A 21,666-nucleotide genomic window follows, 5' to 3' on the forward strand; every position below is an offset into this window, starting at 1 on the left:
AGGCAGGCTAACAATCAAATTCAGGAAATACAGAGAATGCCACAAAGATACTCATCGAGAAGAGCAACTCCAATACACAAAATTGTCAGATTCACCAAAGTTGAAATGAAGGAAAAAATATTAAGGGCAGCCAGAGAGAAAGGTCGGGTTACCCACAAAGGGAAGCCCATCAGACTAACAGCTGATATCTCGGCAGGAATTCTACAAGCCAGAAGAGTGGGGGCCAATATTCAACATTCTTAAAGAAAAGAATTTTCAACCCAGAATTTCATATCCAGCCAAACTAAGCTTCATAAGTGAAGGAGAAATAAAATCCTTTACAGACAAGCAAATGCTGAGAGATTTTGTCACCACCAGGCCTGCCCTGAAAGAGCCCCTGGAGGAAGCACTAAACATAGAAAGGAACAACTAGTACCAGCCACTGCAAAAACATGCCAAATTGTAAAGACCATCAAGGCTAGGAAGAAACTGCATCAACTAACGAGCAAAATAACCAGCTAACATCATAATGACAGGATCAAATTCACACATAAGAATACTAACCTTAAATGTAAATGGGCTAAATGCCCCAATTAAAAGGCATAGACTGGAAAATTGGATAAAGAGTCAAGACCCATCAGTGTGCTGTATTCAGGAAACCCATCTCATGTGCAGAAACACACATAGGCTTAAAATAAAGGGATGGAGGAAGATCTACCAAGCAAATGAAAAACAAAAAAAGGCAGGGGTTGCAATCCTAGTCTCTGATAAAACAGACTTGAAACCAACAAAGATCAAAAGAGACAAAGAAGGCCATTACATAATGATAGTTTCTTTTGCTGTGCAGAGCTCTTTAATTAGATCCTTATTTGCCAATTTTGGGTTTTGTTGCAATTGCTTTTGGTGTTTTAGTCATAAAGTCTTTGCCCATGCCTATGTCCTGAATAGTATATTGCCTAGGTTTTCTTCTAGGCTTTTTATGGTTTTAGGTTTTATGTTTAAGTCTTTAATCCATCTTGAGTTAATTTTTGTATAAGGTGTCAGGAAGGGGTCCAGTTTCAGTTTTCTCAGTATGTCTAGCCAGTTTTCCCAACACCATTTATTAAATAGGGAATCCTTTCCCCATTGTTTGTTTTTGTCAGGTTTGTCAAAGATCAGATGGATGTAGATGTGTGTGGTGTTATTTCTGAGGCCTCTGTTGTCTTCCATTAATCTATATATCTGTTTTGGTACCAGTAGCGTGCTGTTTTGGTTACTGTAGCCTTGCAGTATAGTTTGAAGTCAGGTAGCATGATGCCTCCAGCTTTGTTCTTTTTGCTTACGATTGTCTTTGGTATACAGGCTCTTTTTTGTTTCTATGTGAAATTTAAAGTAGTTTTCTTCTAACTATGTGAAGAAAGTCAATGGTAGCTTGATGGAGATAGCATTGAATCTTTAAATTACCTTGGGCAGTAAGGCCGTTTTCATGATATTGATTCTTCCTATCTATGAGCATGGAATGTTTTTCTATTTGTTTATTATTATTATTATTATTATTATTTATTATTATACTTCAAGTTTTAGGGTACATGTGCACATTGTGCAGGTTAGTTACATATGTATACATGTGCCATGCTGGTGCGCTGCACCCACCAACTTGTTATCTAGCATTAGGTATATCTCCCAATGCTATCCCTCCCCCCTCCCCCACCCCACAACAGTCCCCAGAGTGTGATATTCCCCTTCCTGTGTCCATGTGATCTCATTGTTCAATTCCCACCTATGATTGAGAGTATGTGGTGTTTGGTTTTTTGTTCTTGCGATAGTTTACTGAGAATGATGATTTCCAATTTCATCCATGTCCCTACAAAGGACGTGAACTCATCATTTTTCATGGATGCATAGTATTCCATGGTGTATATGTGCCACATTTTCTTAATCCAGTCTATCATTGTTGGACATTTGGGTTGGTTCCAAGTCTTTGCTATTGTGAATAATGCCGCAATAAACATACATGTGCATGTGTCTTTATAGCGGCATGATTTATAATCCTTTGGGTATATACCCAGTAATGGGATGGCTGGGTCAAATGGTATTTCTAGTTCTAGATCCCTGAGGAATCGCCACACTGACTTCCACAATGGTTGAACTAGTTTACAGTGCCACCAACAGTGTAAAAGTGTTCCTATTTCTCCGCATCCTCTCCAGCACCTGTTTTTTCCTGACTTTTTAATGATCACCATTCTAACTGGTGTGAGATGGTATCTCATTGTGGTTTTGATTTGCATTTCTCTGATGGCCAGTGATGATGAGCATTTTTTCATGTGTTTTTTGGCTGCATAAATGTCTTCTTTTGAGAAGTGTCTGTTCATGTCCTTTGCCCACTTTTTGATGGGGTTGTTTGTTTTTTTCTTGTAAATTTGTTTGAGTTCATTGTAGTTTCTGGATATTAGCCATTTGTCAGATGAGTAGGTTGTGAAAATTTTCTCCCATTTTGTAGGCTGCCTGTTCACTCTGATGGTAGTTTCTTTTGTTGTGAAGAAGCTCTTTAGTTTAGTTAGATCCCATTTGTCAATTTTGTCTTTTGTTGCCATTGCTTTTGGTGTTTTAGACATGAAGTCCTTGCCCATGCATATGTCCTGAATGGTAATGCCTAGGTTTTCTTCTAGGGTTTTTATGGTTTTAGGTCTAATGTTTAAGTCTTTAATCCATCTTGAGTTGATTTTTGTATAAGGTGTAAAAATCCTCAATAAAATACTGGCAAAACGAATCCAGCACCACATCAAAAAGCTTATCCACCATGATCAAGTGGGCTTCATCCCTGGGATGCAAGGCTGGTTCAATATACACAAATCAATAAATGTAATCTAGCATATAAACAGAGCCAAAGACAAAAACCACATGATTATCTCAATAGATGCAGAAAAAGCCTTTGACAAAATTCAACAACCTTCATACTCAATATGAAGGTTCAAACTCTCAATAAATTAGGTATTGATGGGACGTATTTCAAAATAATAAGAGCTATCTATGACAAACCCACAGCCAATATCATACTGAATGGGCAAAACTGGAAGCATTCCCTTTGAAAACTGGCACAAGACAGGGATGCCCTCTCTCACCACTCCTATTCAACATAGTGTTGGAAGTTCTGGCCAGGGCAATGAGGCAGGAGAAGGAAATAAAGGGTATTCAATTAGGAAAAGAGGAAGTCAAATTGTCCCTGTTTGCAGATGACATGATTGTATATCTAGAAAACCCCATTGTCTCAGCCCAAAATCTCCTTAAGCTGATAAGCAACTTCAGCAAAGTCTCAGGATAAAAAATCAATGTGCAAAAATCAGAAGCATTCTTATACACCAACAACAGACAAACAGAGAGCCAAATCATGAGTGAACTCCCATTCACAATTGCTTCAAAGAGAATAAAATACCTAGGAATCCAACTTACAAGGGATGTGAAGGACCTCTTCAAGGAGAACTACAAACCACTGCTCAAGGAAATAAAAGAGGATACAAACAAATGGAAGAGCATTCCATGCTCATGGGTAGGAAGAATCAATATCATGAAAATGGCCATACTGCCCAAGGTTATTTACAGATTCAATGCCATCCCCATCAAGCTACCAATGACTTTCTTCACAGAATTGGAAACAACTACTTTAAAGTTCATATGGAACCAAAAAAGAGCCCGCATTGCCAAGTCAATCCTAAGCCAAAAGAACAAAGCTGGAGGCATCATGCTACCTGACTTCAAACTATACTACAAGGCTACAGTATCCAAAACAGCATGGTACTGGTACCAAAACAGAGATATAGATCAATGGAACAGAACAGAGCCCTCAGAAATAACGCCGCATATGTACAACTATCTGATCTTTGACAAACCTGAGAAAAACAAGCAATGGGGAAAGGATTCCCTATTTAATAAATGGTGCTGGGAATACTGGCTAGCCATATGTAGAAAGCTGAAACTGGATCCCTTCCTTATACCTTATACAAAAATCAATTCAAGATGTTTTTCTATTTTTTTGTGTCCTCTCTTATTTCCTTGAACAGTGGTTTATAGTTCTCCTTGAAGAGGTCCTTCACATCCCTTGTAAATTGTATTCCTAGATATTTTATTCTCTTTGTAGCCATTGTGAGTGGGAGTTCACTCATGATTAGGCTCTCTGTTTGTCTATTATTGGTGCATAGGAATGCTTGTGATTTTTGCACATTGATTTTGTATCTTGAGACTTTGCTGAAGTTGCTTATCAGCTTAAGGAGATTTTGGGCTGAGATGATGGGGTTTTCTAAATATACAATCATGTCATCTGCAAACAGAGACAATTTGACTTTCTCTCTTCCTATTTGAATACCCTTTATTTCTTTCTCTTGCCTGATTAACCTGGCCAGAACTTTCAATACTATGTTGAATAGGAGTGGCAAAGGAGAGCATCCTTGTCTTGTGCTGGTTTTCAAAGGGAATGCTTCCAGCTTTTGCCCATTCAGTATGATATTGGCTGTGGATTTGTCATAAATAGCCCTTATTATTTTGATATATGTTCCATCAATACCTAGTTTATTGAGACGTTTTAGCATGAAGGGGTGTTGAATTTTATCAAAGGCCTTTTCTACATTTATTGATATAACGTGTGTTTTTTGTCATTGGTTCTGTTTATGGAATCAATTATCTTTATTGATTTGCATATGTTGAACTAGCCTTGCATCCCAGCTATGAAACTGACTTGATCATGATGGATAAGCTTTTTAATGTGCTGCTGGATTCAGTTTTCCAGTATTTTATTGAGGATTTTTGCATGGATGTTCATCAGGAATATTGCACTGAAATTTTCTTTTTTTGTTGTGTCTCTGCCATGCTTTGGTATCAGGATGACGCTGGCCTCATAAAATGAATTAGGGAGGATTCCCTCTTTTTCTATTGTTTGGAATAGTTTCAGAAAGAATGGTACCAGCTCTTCTTTGTACCTCTGGTAGAATTTGGCTCTGAATCCACCTGGTCCTGGGCTTTTTTTGGTTGGTAGACTATTAATTACTGCCCCAATTTCAGAACTTATTATTGGTCTACTCAGGGATTCGATTTCTTCCTGGTTTACTCTTGGGAGGGTGTATGTATCCAGGAATTTATCCATTTCTTCTAAATTTTGTAGTTTATTTCTGTAGAGGTGTTTATAGTATTCTGTGGTGACAGTTTGTGTTTCTGTGGGATCGGTGGTGATATCCCCTTTATCATTTTTTATTGTGTCTGTTTGATTGTTCTTCCTTTTCTTCTTTATTTGTCTGGCTAGTGGTCTATGTATTTTGTTAATCTTTTCAAAAAGCCAGCTTGTGGATTCATTGATTTTTTTGAAGGGTTTTTTGTGTCTCTATCTCCTTCAGTTCTGCTCTGATCTTAGTTTATTTCTTGTCTTCTGCTAGTTTTTGAATATCTTTGCTCTTGCTTCTCTAATTCTTTTAATTGTAATGTTAGGGTGTTGATTTTAGATCTTTTCCACTTTGTCCTGTTGGCATTTAGTGCTATAAGTTTTCCTCTAAACACTGCTTTAGCTGTGTCTGAGAGATTCTGGTACGTTGTATCTTTGTTCTCATTGGTTTCAAATAACTTCTTGATTTCTGCCTTAATTTCATTATTTACCCAGTAATCATTCAGGAGCAGGTTCTTCAGTTTCCATGTAGTTGTGCAGTTTTGAGTGAATTTCTCAATTCTGAGTTCTAATTTGATTCCACTGTGGTCTGACAGACTGTTATGATGTCCATTCCTTTGCATTTGCTGAGGAGTGTTTTACTTCCAATTATGTGGTCAATTTTAGAATAAATGTGATGTGGTGCTAAGAATAATGTATATTCTGTTGATTTGGGGTGGAGAGTTTTGTATATGTCTATTAGGTCCTCTTGGTCCAGAGCTGAGTTCAAGTCCTGGATATCCTTGTTAATTTTCTATCTTGTTGATCTGTCTAATATTGACAGGGGGGTGCTAAAGTCTCCTGGTATTATTGTGTGGAAGTCTAAGTCTCTTTGTAGGTCTCTAAGAACTTGCTTTATGAATCTGCGAGCTCCTGTATTAGGTGCATATATATTTAGGATAGTTAGCTCTTCTTGTTGAATTGATCCCTTCACTATTATGTAATGGCCTTCTTTGTGTCTTTTAATCTTTGTTGCTTTAAAGTCTGTTTTATCAGAGGCTAGGATTGCAACACCTGCTTTTTTTTTTTTTTTTGCTTTCCATTTGCTTGGTAGATCTTCCTCCATCCCTTTATTTTGAGCCTATATGTGTCTCTGCACATGAGATGGATCTCCTGAATACAGCACACTGATGGGTATTGACTCTTTATCCAATTTGCCAGTCTGTGTCTTTTAATTGGGGCATTTAGCCCATTTACATTTAAGGTTAATATTGTTATGTGTGAATTTTATCTTGTCATTATGATGTCAGCTGGTTATTTTGCCCGTTAGTTGATGCAGGTTCTTCATAGGTCTTTATAATCTGGTATGTTTTTGCAGTGGATGGTACCCATTTTTCCTTTTCTTGTTTAGTGTTTCCTTTAGGTTCTCTCATAAGGCAGGCCTGGTGGTGACAAAATCTCTCAGCATATGCGGCTAGGCTTGTCTGTAAAGGATTTTATTTCTCCTTCGCTTATGAAGCTTAGTTTGGCTGGATATGAAATTTTGGATTGAAAATTATTTTCTTTAATATTGTTGAATATGAACCCCCAATCTCTTCTTGCTTGTAGCATTTCTGCAGAGAGATCTGTTCTTTGTCTGATGGGCTTCCTTTTGTGGGTAACCCAACCTTTCTCTCTGGCTGCACTTTACATTTTTTCCTGCCTTTCAACCTTGGTGAATCTGACAATTATGTGTCTTGTGGTTGCTCTTCTCAAGGAGTATCTTTGTGGTGTTCCCTGTATTTCCTGAATTTGAATGTTGGCCTGTCTTGCTAGGTTGGGGAGATTCCCCTTGGATAATATCCTGAAGAGTGTTTTCCAACTTGGTTCTATATACTGTATTTTCATTTTCTTCACTTTAACTCATTTTTAGTTTTGCTTGAGACCTTGCTTAGATTATTTTGAAGTGTATTGGTTAGTTTCCAACTTGTTGGGGACTTTCCTGTTATGTTTCTTTTATTAACTTCTAGTCATTTTTATTCACTAAATAAGAGAGTGTACTCTGTGTTATTAAGTTGCTTTAAATTTGCAGAGGATTATTCTTCATAGTTTCTATAAATTACTGAGAGATTTTTGAAACAATTTGGCTTTTGTTTATTTCTCCTTTGAGTTTATCAATTTTTGTTTCACATATTTTGCAGCTCTGTTGTTTGGTTCACACACATTTAGGATTGCAATGTGTTTTTTGTGGATTGCCCCTCTCTCTGTCTTTGATAATTTTTCTGGCTTTGCAGTCTATGTGATTTGACATAACCATGCCTGCTTTCTTTTGACTACAGTTTACAGGTGTACATTTTCATAATTTTGCTTTTAACAACTATATTGATATATTTGAAGTAAATTTTATGTAGACAGTTTATGTTTGTTCATATGTTTTAAGATGCTGTGCCTCTCTGTCATTTAGTTGGTGTATTAAGACCATTTACTTTTATTGTAATTATGGCTACGTGGTAGCTTAAGACTACTCTTTATTTCTTGTTTTCTCTTTGTTCTATTTTTTGTTTTTGTTTTATTTTTTCTACCTTGCTATGGGTTACTTGAACATTTATTTTAATTCAATTTCAATTCATCCATAGTTTTTTTGGGAGTATGTCTTTTTATAGCTTTTTAGTGTTTACTATAGAAATTATATTACATTTATATAACTTATTGAAGTCTACTTTTGTCATCATTTTCAAAGTTTGAATTAAGTATAGAAATAACACCTACCTATACCTTTACATGCCCCCATTTAAAATATAATTCTTTTAAATATTTCTTCTAAGAACACTTAGAAACATTTCACAGTGTTACAGACTTTTTTCAACCTTCTACCATAACTTTGGGAACTCAGTAAGAGAAGGGGGGAATGCATTGTATTTATCCATATGATTACAATTTTCAGTTTTCTTTCTTCCTTCCTGATATTCCAATATTCCCTCTTTATTATTACCTTTTGTTTAAAGAACTTCTTCAGCAATTTTTAAGGGTATGTCTCCTGGTGACATGTTCTGTTATCTGAGAAGGTCTTCATTTCCCCTTCACTCCTGAAAAAAGATATTAATATATTGCTCAAAGAATTCTGGATAGATAGTTCATTTCTTTCAGCACTTAAAAATGCACCACTTCCTTTTGCTCTCTATCATTTATAATAAGAAATCTGTTGTCATTAGAATTGCTTTATTTTTTCAGTAAGATGTTTCTGTAGCTATTTTCAAGATATTTTCTGTTAATTAATGTGTCTTGGTCGGGCACCGTGGCTCATTCCTGTAATCCCAGCACTTTGGGAGGCCTAGCTGGGTGGATCACCTGAGGTCAGGAGTTTCAGACTAGCCAGGCCAATATGGTGAAACCCCATCACTACTCAAAATACAAAAGTTAGCCAGGTGTGGTGGCATGTGCCTTGTAATCCCAACTACTCGGGAGGCTGAGGCAGGATAATTGCTTGAATCCAAGAGGCAGAGGTTGCAGTGAGCTGAGATGGCACCACTGCACTCCAGACTGGGCAACAGAGTGAGACTCTGTCTCAAAAATAAAAATAAAATAAAACAAAATAAAATAAAATAAAATAAAAAAGTGTCTTGATGTGAATACTTCATTTGAGATTTGTTTGAAAATCTTGTTTGGGATTTGTTCAGCTTCTTGAATCTATTCGTGTCTTTTGACAAATTTGGGAAGTTTTAGCTATTATTTATTAGAGTACTTTTCCAGTCCTGCTCTCTTTCTCTTCATCTTTTGAACTTCAATGATGTCAAATATTAGAATTTTTGTTGTTTTCTACAGGTCTCTGAGAGTTTCTTTTTTTTTTCAGTCTATTTTCTCACTCTTGCTTATATTGGATAATTTCTGCTCTATCTCCAAATGCACTGGTTCTCTCCTCCTTTGCTTTCATTTGCTGTTTTTAAGAATTTTGGTCATTGTAAATTTTAGTTCTAGAATTTCAATTTAGCCCTTCAAAATATCTTCTATCTTTTCTGAAACTTTCTCCTTTTTTTTTGCTAAGCCTTTCTATTTTTTTTTTTATTTTCAAGTGTGTTTGCAATTGCTCATCAAATAATTTTTATCAGGATACTTTAAAATCCTTGTCAGATAATCCTAACATCTCTGTTATCTCAGTGCTGGTGTTACCAGAAAGGGGTCTGGATTCAGAGTCCAAGAGAGGGTTCTTGGACCTCATGCAAAAAGAATTTGGGATGAGTCCATAGAGTAAAGTGAAAGCAAGTTTATTAAGAAAGCAAAGGAGTAAAGAATGGCTGGCTACTCCACAGGCAGTGGATATAAGTGAATATACTGGATATAAGTGGATATCCAGTGAATATAAGTGGATATAAGTGGATATAAGTGAATATACTTATAGTTATTTCTTGATTATATGGTTAACAAGGGGTGGATTATTCATGAGTTTTCCAGGAAAGGGGTGGGCGCTTCCTGGAACTGAGGGTTCCTTCCCTTTTTAGACCATACAGGGTAACCTCCTGACATTGCCATGGCATTCATTAACTGTCATGGTGCTGGTAGCAGAGTCTTTTAGCATGCTAATGCTTTATAATTAGCATATAGTGAGCAGTGAGGATGACCAGAGGTCACTTTCATCACCATCTTGGTTTTGGCTTCTTTACCACATCCTTTCTTAACAGCAAGGTCTTTGTGGCCTGTATCTTGACCTGTATCTTGTGCTGACCTCCTATCTTATCCTATGACTAAGAATGCCTAACATCCTGGGAATGCAACCCAGTAGGTCTCAGCCTCATTTTACTCAGCCCTTATTCAAGACGGAGTTGCTCTGGTTCAAATGCCTCTGACACTGGCATGTATTAATTTTCTTTTTCCATTCAGGTTGAAATTTTCCTGGTTCTTGATATGATGAGTGATTTTCAACTGAAACTTGGAAATTTGGGTACTGTGCATCTTATGTAAATCTTGTCTTTTACCTAGCTTTCTCTGAGAGATTTCTCTGGTAAGGGAGGAAGCTGCTGTCCCATTACTGTCAGGTGGGTGTAGATGTCCAAGTTTTCTGCTTCGCCTTCATTGACATTCAATATAGGGGTCTCCTTATTTCTGCTCAGTGGAGGGAGTTTTGGCAGCCCATGAAGCTTCTACTGATACTAACCTGGCTGGGAGAAGCAGAAGTATCTATTATTTCTCTCCATGTGTCTTCCACAGACACCACAGGGAGTGTGTGTTACCCCTGGGCAGTGATTAAAATTTTCACTCTCACATAGATCTCTTCTGATAGCACTCAACCAGATAGGAGAGGAACACCCTTGCTGTTGGATGTGGATAGGTTCATACTTTTTCTATGGTATCTGGATGAAGTAGAGTGGTTACTGTCTAAAACTCTTCTGTCTGGCTCTTGTTGTTTGACATGAGGAGAAGGTTTTCCTTGGGTTTAGAAAAAAATCTGATTTTCTGGTTTCTTCAACTCCGATTCTGAAATATACGAGGCAAAAGAAAAACTTAAAAACTCACCATCATGTCTTTCCCTTTATTGGGACTTAATGAAAAGGTGGGTTGCTTCCTTAATGGCCAGGGCATGAAAAAGAAATGTATGGTTTAATGAAGATTATAGGAACCACTGATATGCTTATTGCTCAATCTTCAGGTTTATTTTCCAGATGATAGACTCAGCTAATTCCTCAATTTGGCCACAGTGGTCTTTTCCAGCAGATTTGTGATCAAAGCACTACATATTTTTTTCTAGAATCTGTAAGCTACCCTACGAATAGTCCCGTTTGCATGGGATGAGCAATGCACAAGGGTCGGGGGTTGGTGCCAAGTACTCTAAAGACCCTCGAAACCCTTGTCTTGTCCCTATGTCTCATAATCTTTCCAAACTTTCCTATTCTCATGTTACACACCCAGAAGCATTTCCCGCATCTCTTTCCCCTTCAATCATTCATTTTTATATTCAACAAAGTTGAATAGAATATTTACTACATGGGAGGCATATAACAACCGGAAAAACACCAGTAAACAAGACACAGGAAGTTCACATTCTGAGTCTGGTGTAATTGTTTCAGAGAGCTTTTAGAACACAGTGCTGCCTTTTCTTTCCTGCAGGAGGTATTGAGAACAAGCAGGTGAAGTTTTTTGTTTTTGTTTTTGTTTTTGTTTTGAGATGGAGTCTCGCTCTGTCACCCAGGCTAGAGTGCAGTGGTGTGATCTCGGCTTCACTGTAACCTCCACCTCTCCAGTTCAAGTGATTCTCCTGCCTCAGCACCCCGAGCAACTGGGATTACAGGCATGTTCCACCATGCCTGGCTAATTTTTGTGTTTTTAGTAGAGATGGGGTTTCATCATGTTGGCTAGGTTGGTCTTGAACTCCTGACTTCAAGTGATACACCCGCCTAGGCTTCCCAAAGTGCTGGGATTACAGGCATGAGCCACCACGACTGGCCTGAAGAATTTGTTTTTCTTAGCGCTCATTTGATGAAATATGGCACTGACACCATTACATGTACTTGGTCTCATTTGTGCCTTGAGTCTCCATTCCTCCCCCTTTTCACCTTAGAAATCAAAGCACACATTAAAACTAACAGATAGGAGTACAAAAAAAATCCCTAGGCTTAACGTCATCCCATCCAATTTCACAGTAGGCAGTAAAAGAAATGGCAAAATTTGAAAACTCTGATTCAGTAAATGTCTGCAATTTCTTTCAGCATTTTAGACAGACTGGAGATCAAGGGGCCAAAGGTATATACAAAGATACATTCTGGTAATGTAGCAGAGCTGCTGGCCTCTGGAAACATGAACATTCTGGGAAAATCAGCATAAAAGAGAATTAAATTTTATTTTAACTTGCTATTTTTATTTACATAAATGTAGATTCACATGCAGCTATAAGAAATAATAGGAAGATTTATCAAATTTCCCTAAATGGTAACATGTTACTAAACTATGGCATAATGTCACAAACAGAATATTGACATTGATACAATTGAACAACTTTATTAAAATTTCTCACTTTACTTGTATTTGTTTGTATGTGTGTGTAGAAGCAATACAATTTTATCACATACATAATTTCTGTGTTCGCCACCCTAATCAAGATGCTAAACTATTGTTCTGTGTCAAGGTAATGCCAAGTAATACTGAATAATATTCAGTTATACCAAGGTATTAACATCAAACCATGAGAGCTAACCATACCCTATAATTTTATCATTTCAAAATATTATATAAGTGGAATTGTAGAGTATACACGTTTTGGGATTAGATTTTTTCACTCTGGATAATTTCCTGGAGATTTGTCCAAGTTGTTTAGTGTATCAGAATTCAGTCCTTTTAATATCGTTCAGTAGTATTCAACAGTATGAGTGTACGATAGTGTCTGTTGGTACTCAGCTAATGCCATATTTGTGATTAGATTTCACATTCATATATTATTGGCTGCCCTAAAACACACTGTATGTCATTTGATTCTTGCAGCAATGTTTCAAGGTGGGTGCTGTCATTTGATGGTTGCAGACACTGAGGATCAGTGAGCTGAAATGTCTGGTGGGGATCGCACAGCTGAATTGGGTCTGAGCTGCAGCTCACACTCTTAGGTCTAGAATCCACATGGCCTCCTTTAGTACACAACAGAACAGAGTTGGAAATCCAAGGGTGACATTCAGGGTGCTGTGCTTCCTCAACTAGGTAGGACCCCACATCTCATTATAGCAGGGTGTGTGTGTGTGTGTGAGAGAGAGAGAGAGAGGGAGAGAGAGAGAGAGAAAATGAGAGAGAGAGAGAGAAAGAGAGAGAAAATGACAGAGAGAGAGAGAGAGAGACAGATATAGAGAAAGAAACAGAGACAGAGGAACAGAGACAAAGAAAAGCAGTTAGAGACTCTGATTTTCAATGTCCTCAGCATATAATATTTGCTATGCACTTTTTAACTTTAGTCTTCAATGAAAATCTCATATCTAGTATTTTCTACAAATACAGACACCAGTAATTTGATACACACTCAGGCAGATATCTCTAGGTAATTTGTTTATCCAAATGATGCCTAATTTCATGACACTCATTTCTCAACTATATTGCTATGCCACATTTAATTGACTGCCCTGCCATTCACATATGAAATTTAAAGTAAAATTAATGTGCGTGACATATTTATGTTCCAGTATGGCAGCATAGGCCCACAGGGAATTTGTAGGCACTGAGAAATTGATATGTGACCTGGAGACCTTATAAATAAAAAAATAGCATAATCACTTATCAAGCTTTGACATAACGAAGACAAACACCTTTCTATCATTAGGTAGGAAGAAGGAAGGGGTTGCCTAGGTCACTAAAGGATGTGAGTTGCATCCTTATTATCTGCAGGAGACCTCTGTGTTACCATTAGAATCACATCATTGTTATCAGTAGGACACCATCTTTGTTATCTGTGGGATCCCATCCTTACTATCTGTGGGATCCCATCCTTACTATCTGTGGGATCATACCCTCGCTATCTGTGGGATCCTATCTTCACTATCTGTGAGATCACAACCTCGTAGTCTATCTGCAGGATGATGCTACTGTTATCTGAAGATCACATCCTTGTTATCTGTAGGATTACGTCTTTGTATCTGTAGCATCAGATCTTTATCTTTGGGATCACGTCGTTGTTATCTTTAGGGTCACATCTTCATTATCGGTAGGATTATATCATCTTTGTTATCTGTGGGATCACATTCCTGGAGACGTTATTTTATCCTAGCACCAGAGCCATTGGAACAAGTGCATATTAAATTACCTCTATTGACAATGAATCAGGGATTTATAAGTAATTTTTTTCTTTTAGTTTGTGAACTTGGAGGGAAGGAGAAAGGCATAATGGTAATTGAGAAAGAAAAGTGGGGTTGAGAGGAAGCTTGCCTTTTGGAGGAGAACAGTGGTTGTTTCAGACTTGAAACAGTCTGATTGGTATGAGTTGGTATCTCATTGTGGCTTTGATTTGCAATTCTGTAATAATCAATGATGTTGAGCCTTTTTTCATATGATTGTTGGCTGCATAAATGTCTTCTTTTGAGAAATGTCTGTTCATATCCTTTGCCCACTTTTTGATAGGGTTGTTTGTTTTTTCTTGTAAATTTGTTTAAGTTCCTTGTAGATTCTGGAGATTAGACTTTTGTCAGATGGGTAGATCGCAAAAATTTTCTCCCATTCTGTAGGTTGCCTGTTCACTCTGATGATAGCTTCTTTTGCTGTGCAGAAGCTCTTTGGTTTAATCAGATCCCTTCAGTCAATTTTGGCTTTTGTTGCCATTGCTTTTGGCATTTTCATCATGAAGTCTTTGCCCATGCCTGTGTACTGAATGGTATTGCTTAGGTTTTCTTCTAGGGTTTTTATGGTTTTGGGTTTTACATTTAAGTCTTTATCTTGAGTTAATTTTTGTATAAGGTGTAAGGAAGGGGTCCAGTTTCCGTTTTTTGAATATGGTTAGTCAGTTTTCCCAGCACTAATTATTAAATAGGGAATCCTTTCCCCGTTGCTTGTTTGTGTCAGGTTGTCGAAGATCAGATGGATGTAGGTGTGCGGCATTATTTCTGAGGCCTCTGTTCTGTTCCATTGGTCTATATGTCTATTTTGATACCAGTACCATGCTGTTTTGGTCACTGCAGACTTGTAGTATAGCTTGAAGTCAGGCAGTGTGATGCCTCCAGCCATGTTCTTTTTGCTTAGGATTGTCTTGGCTATATGGATTCTTTTTTGGTTCCATATGAAATTTAAAGCAGTTTTTTTTTTCTAATTCTGTGAAGAATGTCAATGGCACTTTGATGGGAATAGCATTGAATCTTTAAATTACATTGGGCAGTATGGCCATTTTCATGATATTGATTCTTCCTATCCATGAGCATGGAATGTTTTTCCCTTTGTTTGTGTCCTCTCTTATTTCCTTGGGCAGTGGTTTATAGTTCCCCCTTGAAGAGGTCCTTCACATCCCTTGTTAGCTGTATTTCTCGGTATTCATTGTCTTTGTAGCAATCGTGAATGGGAGTTCACTCATGATTTGGCTCTCTGCTTGTCTATTGTTGGTGTATAGGAATGCTTGTAATTTTTGCACAATGATTTTTTATATTGATACTTTGCTAAAGTTGCTTATCAGCTTAAGGAATCTTTGGGCTGAGACGATGGGGTTTTCTAAATACAGAATAATGTCATCTGCAAACAGAGACAATTTGACTTCCTCTCTTCCTGTTTGAATATCCTTTATTTCTTTCTCTTGCCTGATCTCCCTGGCCAGAATTTCCAATACTATGTCTAATAGGAGAGGTGAGAGATGGCATCCTTGTCTTGTGCTGGTTTTCAAGGGGAATGTTTCTAGCTTTTGCCCATTCAGTATGATATTGGCTGCAGGTTTGCCATAAATGGCTCCTATTCTTTTGAGATATGTTCCATCAATATCTAGTTTATTGAGAGGTTTTTAACATGATGATGTGTTGAATTTTATCGAAGGCCTTTCTGCATCAATTGAGCTAATCATGTGGTTTTTGTCATTTGTCCCTTTTATGTGATGGATGATGTTTATTGATTTGCGTATGTTGAACCAGCCTTGCATCCCAGGGATGAAGCCTACTTCATCATCGTGGGTAAGTTTTTGATGTGCTGCTGGATTTGGTTTGCCAGTATTTTATTGAGGATTTTTGCATGGATGTTCATCAGGGTTAATGGTCTGAAATTTTCTTTTTTTGTTGTGTCTCTGCCAGGTTTTGGTATCAGGATGATGCCGGCTTCATAAAACGAGTTAGGGAGGAGTCTCTCCTTTTCAATTACTTGGAATAGTTTCAGAAGGAATTGTACAAGCTCCTCTTTGTGTCTCTGGTATAATTCAGCTATGAATCCATCTGGTCCTGGGCTTTTTTTGGTTGGTAGGCCATTAATTACTGCCTCAATTTCAGAACTTGTTGGTCTATTCAGGGATTTGACTTCTACCTGGTTTAGTCTTGGGAGGGTGTATGTGTCCAGGAATTTATCCATTTCTTCTAAATTTTCTAGTTTATTTGTGTAGAAGTCTTTATAGTATTTTCTGATGGTAGTTTGTATTTCTGTGGAGTCAGTGGTGATATCCCTTTTATCATTTTTTATTGTTCTATTTGATTCTTCTCTCTTTTCTTCCTTATTAGTCTAGCTAGTGGTATATCTATTTTGTTAATTTTCTTAAAAAAACCAGCTCCTGGATTCATTAATTATTTTGGAGGGTTTTCCATGTCTCTATCTCCATCAGTTCTGCTCTAATCTTAGTTATTTCTTGTCTTCTGCTAAGTTTTGGATTAGTTCACTTTTGCTTCTCTCACGCTTTTAATTGCGATGTTAGGGCATCAATTTGAGATCTTTCTAGCTTTCTGATGTGGGCATTTAGTGCTATACATTTCCCTCTTGACACTGCTTTAGCTGTGTCCCAGAGATTCTGGTACATTGTCTCTTTGTTCTCACTGGTTTCAAATAAGTTCTTGATTTCTGCCTTAATTTCATTATTTACCCAGGAATCATTCAGGAGTAGGTTGTTCAATTTCCATGTAGTTGTGCAGTTTTTCAGTGAGTTTCTTAATGCTGAGTTGTAATTTGATTGCACTGTGGTTTGAGAGACTGTTTGTTATGACTTCAGTTCTTTTGCGCTTGCTGAGGAGTGTTTTACTTCCAATTATGTGGTGTACTTTAGAATAAGTGCCATGCAGCACTGAGAAGAATGTATATTCTGTTGATTTGGGGAGGAGAGTTCTGTAGATGTCAATTAGGTCTACCTGATCCAGAGCTGAGTTCAAGTTCTGAGTATCCTTGTTAATTTTCTGTCTCATTAATCTTTCTAATATAGGCAATGGGGTGCTAAAGTCTCCCAGTATTATTGTGTGGAAGTCTAAGTCTCTTTGTAGGTCTCTGAGAACTAGCTTTATGAATCTGGGTGCTCCTGTATTGGGTGCATATATATTTAGGATAGTTAACTCTTCTTGTTGCATTGATCCCTTTACCATTACGTAATGCCCTTCTTTGATCTTTGTTGGTTTAAAGTCTGTTTTGTCAGAGACTAGTATTACAACCTCTGTTTTTTTTTTTTCTGCTTTCCAATTGCTTGTTAAATTTCCTCCATCCCTTTATTTTGAGCCTATGTGTGTCTTTGCATGTGAGATGTGTCTTCTGAATACAGCACACTGATGGGTCTTGACTCTATCCAGTTTGCCAGTCTGTGTCTTTTTTTTTTTTTTTTTTTGAGACAGAGTCTTGCTCTTGTTGCTTAGGCTGGAGGCAGTCTATATCTTTTGATTGTGACATTTAGCCCATTTACATTTAATGTATGTGAATTTGATCCATCATCATGATACTAGCTGGTTATTTTGCACAATTGTTGAACAGTTTCTTCACAATGTTTTTGGTCTTTATATTTTTGTGTGTTTTTGCAGTGGCTGGTACTGGTTTTTCCTTTCCATATTTAGTGCTTCCTTCAGGAGCTCTTGCAAGGGACGCCTGGTGGTGATCAAATCTCTCAGCATTTGCTTGTCTGGAAACTATTATATTTCCCTTTGCTTCTGATTCTTAGTTTGCCTCGATATGAAATTCTAGGTTGAAAATTCTTTTCTGTAAGAATATTGAATATTGGTCCCCATTCTCTTCTTGCTTGTAGGGTTTCTGCTGAGAGATCGACTGTTAGTGTGATGGGCTTCCCTCTGTAGGTAACCTGACCTTTTTTCTGGCTGCCCTTAATATTTTTTCCTTCATTTTGACCTTGGAGAATCTGATGATTATGTGTCTTGGAGTTGTCTTCTTGTGGAATATGTTAGTGGTGTTCTCTGTATTTCCTAAATTTGAATGTTGGCCTATCTTGCTAGATTGGAGACATTGTCCTGGATGATATCCTAAAGTATGTTTTCCAACTTAGTTCTATTTGCCTGGTACTCCAATAAATCATATGTTTAGTCTTTTTACATATTCCCATATTTCTCAGAGGTTTTGTTCATTCCTTTTTATTCTTTTTTTCTCTAATTTTGCCTGAATGCCTTATTTCAGCCAGATGGCCTTCAAACTCTGATATACTTTCTTCTGCTTGATCTATGTGGCTATTGATACTTCTGTGTGCTTCACGATGTTCTTGTGCTGTGTTTCCCAGATCCATCAGGTTATTTATCTTCCTCTCTAAACTGGTTATTCTAGTTAGCACCTCCTATAACCTTTTATCAAGGTTCTTAGCTTCTTTGTATTGGGTTAGAACATGCTGCTTTAACTCAGCAGAGTTTGTCATTACCGACCTCCTAAAGCCTACCTCTGTCAATTCATCCATTTCATCCTCCGTCCACTTTTGTGCCCTTGCTGGAGAGGTGTAGAAATCACTTGGTGGAGAAGAGGCACTCTGGCCTTTTAGGTTTTCAGCGTTTTTTGTTGTTGTTGTTGTTGATTCTTTCTCATCTTCATGAGTTGGTCTAGTATCGATCTTTGAGGATGCTGACCCTTGGATGGGCTTTTGTAGGGACTTTTTTTGTTGATGCTGTTGTTGTTGCTTTCTGTTTGTTTGTTTTTGTTGCAATTGTCAGGTCCCTCTTCTGTAGGGCTGCTGCAGTTTGCTGGGGGTTCATTTCAGGCCCTATTTATCTGGTTAGGTCCTGTGCCTGGAGATGTCACTTGAGGACGCTGGAAAATAGCAAATATGGGTGCCTGCTCCTTCCTCTGGGATCTCTGACCTCGAGGGGCACTGACCTGATGCCAGTAGGAATGGTCCTGTATAGGGTGTCTGACAACCCCTGTTGGAGGGTTTCACCCAGTTGGGTGGCACAGGGAGCAGGACCTGTTTAACAAAGCACTTTGTCCCTTGGTGGAGGTGGGTGTGCTTTGCTGGGGGGAAACACACTTGTTTGCACTGCCCAGATACCTCAGACCTAGTAGGAGTAAAGACTAAGTGTGCTGATTCATAGAGACTGTGGCCATCCCTCTCCCTAAGGGCTCAGGTCCAGGGAGATCAGAGTTCTGTCCCTGAGCCCCTGGCTGGAGTTCTTGGAGTTCCTGCAGGGAGGCCCTGCCTAGTGAGGAGGGATGGGGTCAAGGTTAGGCCTGAAGAGGCACTCTGTCTGCAGTCTGACACAGCCGGTGTGTTGAGCTGTGGGGGATACCTCTTGGGACCAAGCCGTCCAGCCTGCCCGGCTCCAGCAAGGGAAAAGCACAGCCTGGAGCTATAGAGTTGGCTGCCACTCTTCCCCTGCCCTGGGAGCTTAGTGTGTTACTGAACTATCAGTCCCTTTGTTGGCTGTTGCCCCTCCCCCAAGGAGCTCAAACAACTTAGACTACAGGCAGCTGCAGCTGTGGTGCTGGTCACCCCTCCTTCTGGGAGCTGGGCAGGCTTAAGCAGATTCTAGCTTAGTGGCTGTTGAGAATCTGTGCAGCTCTGGGGTTAGGACCCTAGGCCCTGGTGGCATGGGCTCACCAGTTGGATCTTCTGATCCGTGGGTTGCAATTTCATGGAAAAATCACGTTTACCAAGGCTGGGTAGCACGCTTACTCACCACCTCTCTTGGCTGGGGGTGGGCACTCACCTGCCCCGTGTGGTTCTCAGGTGGTCCCCAGCATCACATTGCTCTTCCTTTCTCTCTGTGGGTCATACCAGCTGCCTAGTCAGTTCTGATGACAGAACCTGTATTCCTCAGTTGCTGGTGCAAGATTCACACGCTGTTATGGTTCTTTTCGATGGGAGCCTCCAATTACCACTTATTTTAGTTGGCCATCTCTGCCCCAGCCCCATCTCTGTTTTTGATTGATCTTGTCAAAAGACTTAGGTTGTCCATTAAGGTATTTCTAATGACTTCACTTATACAGCTGAGTGCACACAATTACCCACCATAGTGATATGTGTTTATACATTTCACTTTTGACTGATTTCTTTATGACCACAGTTCATCTGATTATAACTGTTACACCCATGTGACTGTCATTAGTATTCTTGAGTGTTTATGTTTGCAAAAATATGTATATTATTGCCTATTTTTTTGTGTAAAGTGGCCTATGAAGTGTTCTGTCATATTTTTATGTTTCTCAAGCAAATCCCCTTTTACAAATGTGATTAAATATTTTTATAGGATTTTTAAAATTATTTTTTCCAGAATTATATTTTTGGGATTTCAATACTCAGGATTATGGCATTGGAGATTTTGTCTTTTGGGATTATGATCAGCTCCCATTCCTTAAAGATTATGTTCATATGTGTAGAGCATTCATTAGAAACTTATCTCTAGAAAGAATTATAGGTATTATCTAATTCATTTGTGCCATTAGTCTGCTCAGGCTGTGTGTTAGGCTGTTCATGTGTTGCTGTAAAGAAATACCTGAAGCTGGATAACTTATAAAGAAAATAGTTTTAATTGGCTCATGGTTCTGCAGGCTACACAGAAAGTGTGGTATCAGCATGTGCTTCTGGTGAGGCCTCAGGGAGCTCACAGTAATGGAGGAAAGTGCAAGGGGAGCTGGCATCTCATGTGGCGAGAGAGGGGGCAAGGGGCAGGGAGGTGCCACACACTTTAAAACAACCAGATCTTGGAGAACTCACTATGGCAAAGACAGCACCAAGCCATGAGGGATCTGCCCCCACGCTCCAATCACCTCCCGCCAGGCTCCACCTCCAACACTGGGGATCACAATTCAACATGACATTTGGAGGGAACAAATATCTAAGCCATATCAGGATGCCATAACAGAATACCACAGATTAGATGACTTAAACAACAACAAAATATTTTCTCACTGTTCTGGAGGCAGGAAGTCCAAGACCAAGGTGCTGGCAGGACACCTTTCCTCAGGGGCCTCACTCATTGGTTTGAGGACAGCTGCCCCTGCTGCCTCTACACAAATTGTCCCTCCGCCCCACTGGCTGATCTCCTTCCGTGACTCCTCCCCACCTTCTTAATCCCCAAGCTTTGCATTGCCTTTGCGCTTTGTCCTTGCTTGGTTCTCCCCTGTATTGCGTCTATACCTACTCCAACAGAGACACATCCAGTCTCATTGCTTGAAATGCCCCCTACCTTACATTTTTATCTCCACCCTGAAGCTCTCCCCTGGTTTCTGGATTGCTTTATACAGTTGTATTATTGATATTTGCATTGAATATCCTTCAGACATTGAGAACTTAACTGGCCTGTCCACACCTGTTTACCTGACATTGCTCCTCAAGCCTCCCTGTCCCCTGATTACCTGACACTGCTCCTCAAGCCTCCCTGTCCCACGCCCTTCTCCATCCCAATTCAAGCAACTATCTGTTTTGATTGGGATTATTGCAACTGTCCTCTAACTGCCCTTGCTTCCTCCAGCCAGAGTAGTCCTAGTAAAATGATATATATATGTATATATGTGTGTGTGTATATATATATATATATATATATATATATATATATATATATATTTAGGGTATTAACTCACATGATCACAAGGTCCCATAATAGGCCGTCTACAAGCTGAGGAGCAAGGAAGCCGGTCCGAGTTCCAAACCTGAAAAACTTGGAGTCCGATGTTTAAGGGCAGGAAGCATACAGCATACAGGAGAAAGATGGAGGCTGGGAGGCTAAGCCAGTCTAGTCTTTTCACTTTCTTCTTCCTGCTTTTTATTCTGGCTGCACTGGCAG

At 38.8% G+C, this 21,666-nt stretch overlaps 1 annotated feature.

Annotated features, from left to right (window-relative positions):
* Window positions 19,147–19,646: an enhancer, noted in NCBI's record as "H3K4me1 hESC enhancer chr8:49930905-49931404 (GRCh37/hg19 assembly coordinates)". NCBI's record gives its function as "activates a minimal SCP1, AML or CMV promoter by ChIP-STARR-seq in primed H9 embryonic stem cells {active_cell/tissue: H9 hESC(primed)}" and the evidence as "EXISTENCE:reporter gene assay evidence [ECO:0000049][PMID:30033119]".

This window comes from Homo sapiens, chromosome 8 (genome assembly GCF_000001405.40).
Source record: "Homo sapiens chromosome 8, GRCh38.p14 Primary Assembly".
Lineage (NCBI taxonomy): Eukaryota > Metazoa > Chordata > Mammalia > Primates > Hominidae > Homo > Homo sapiens.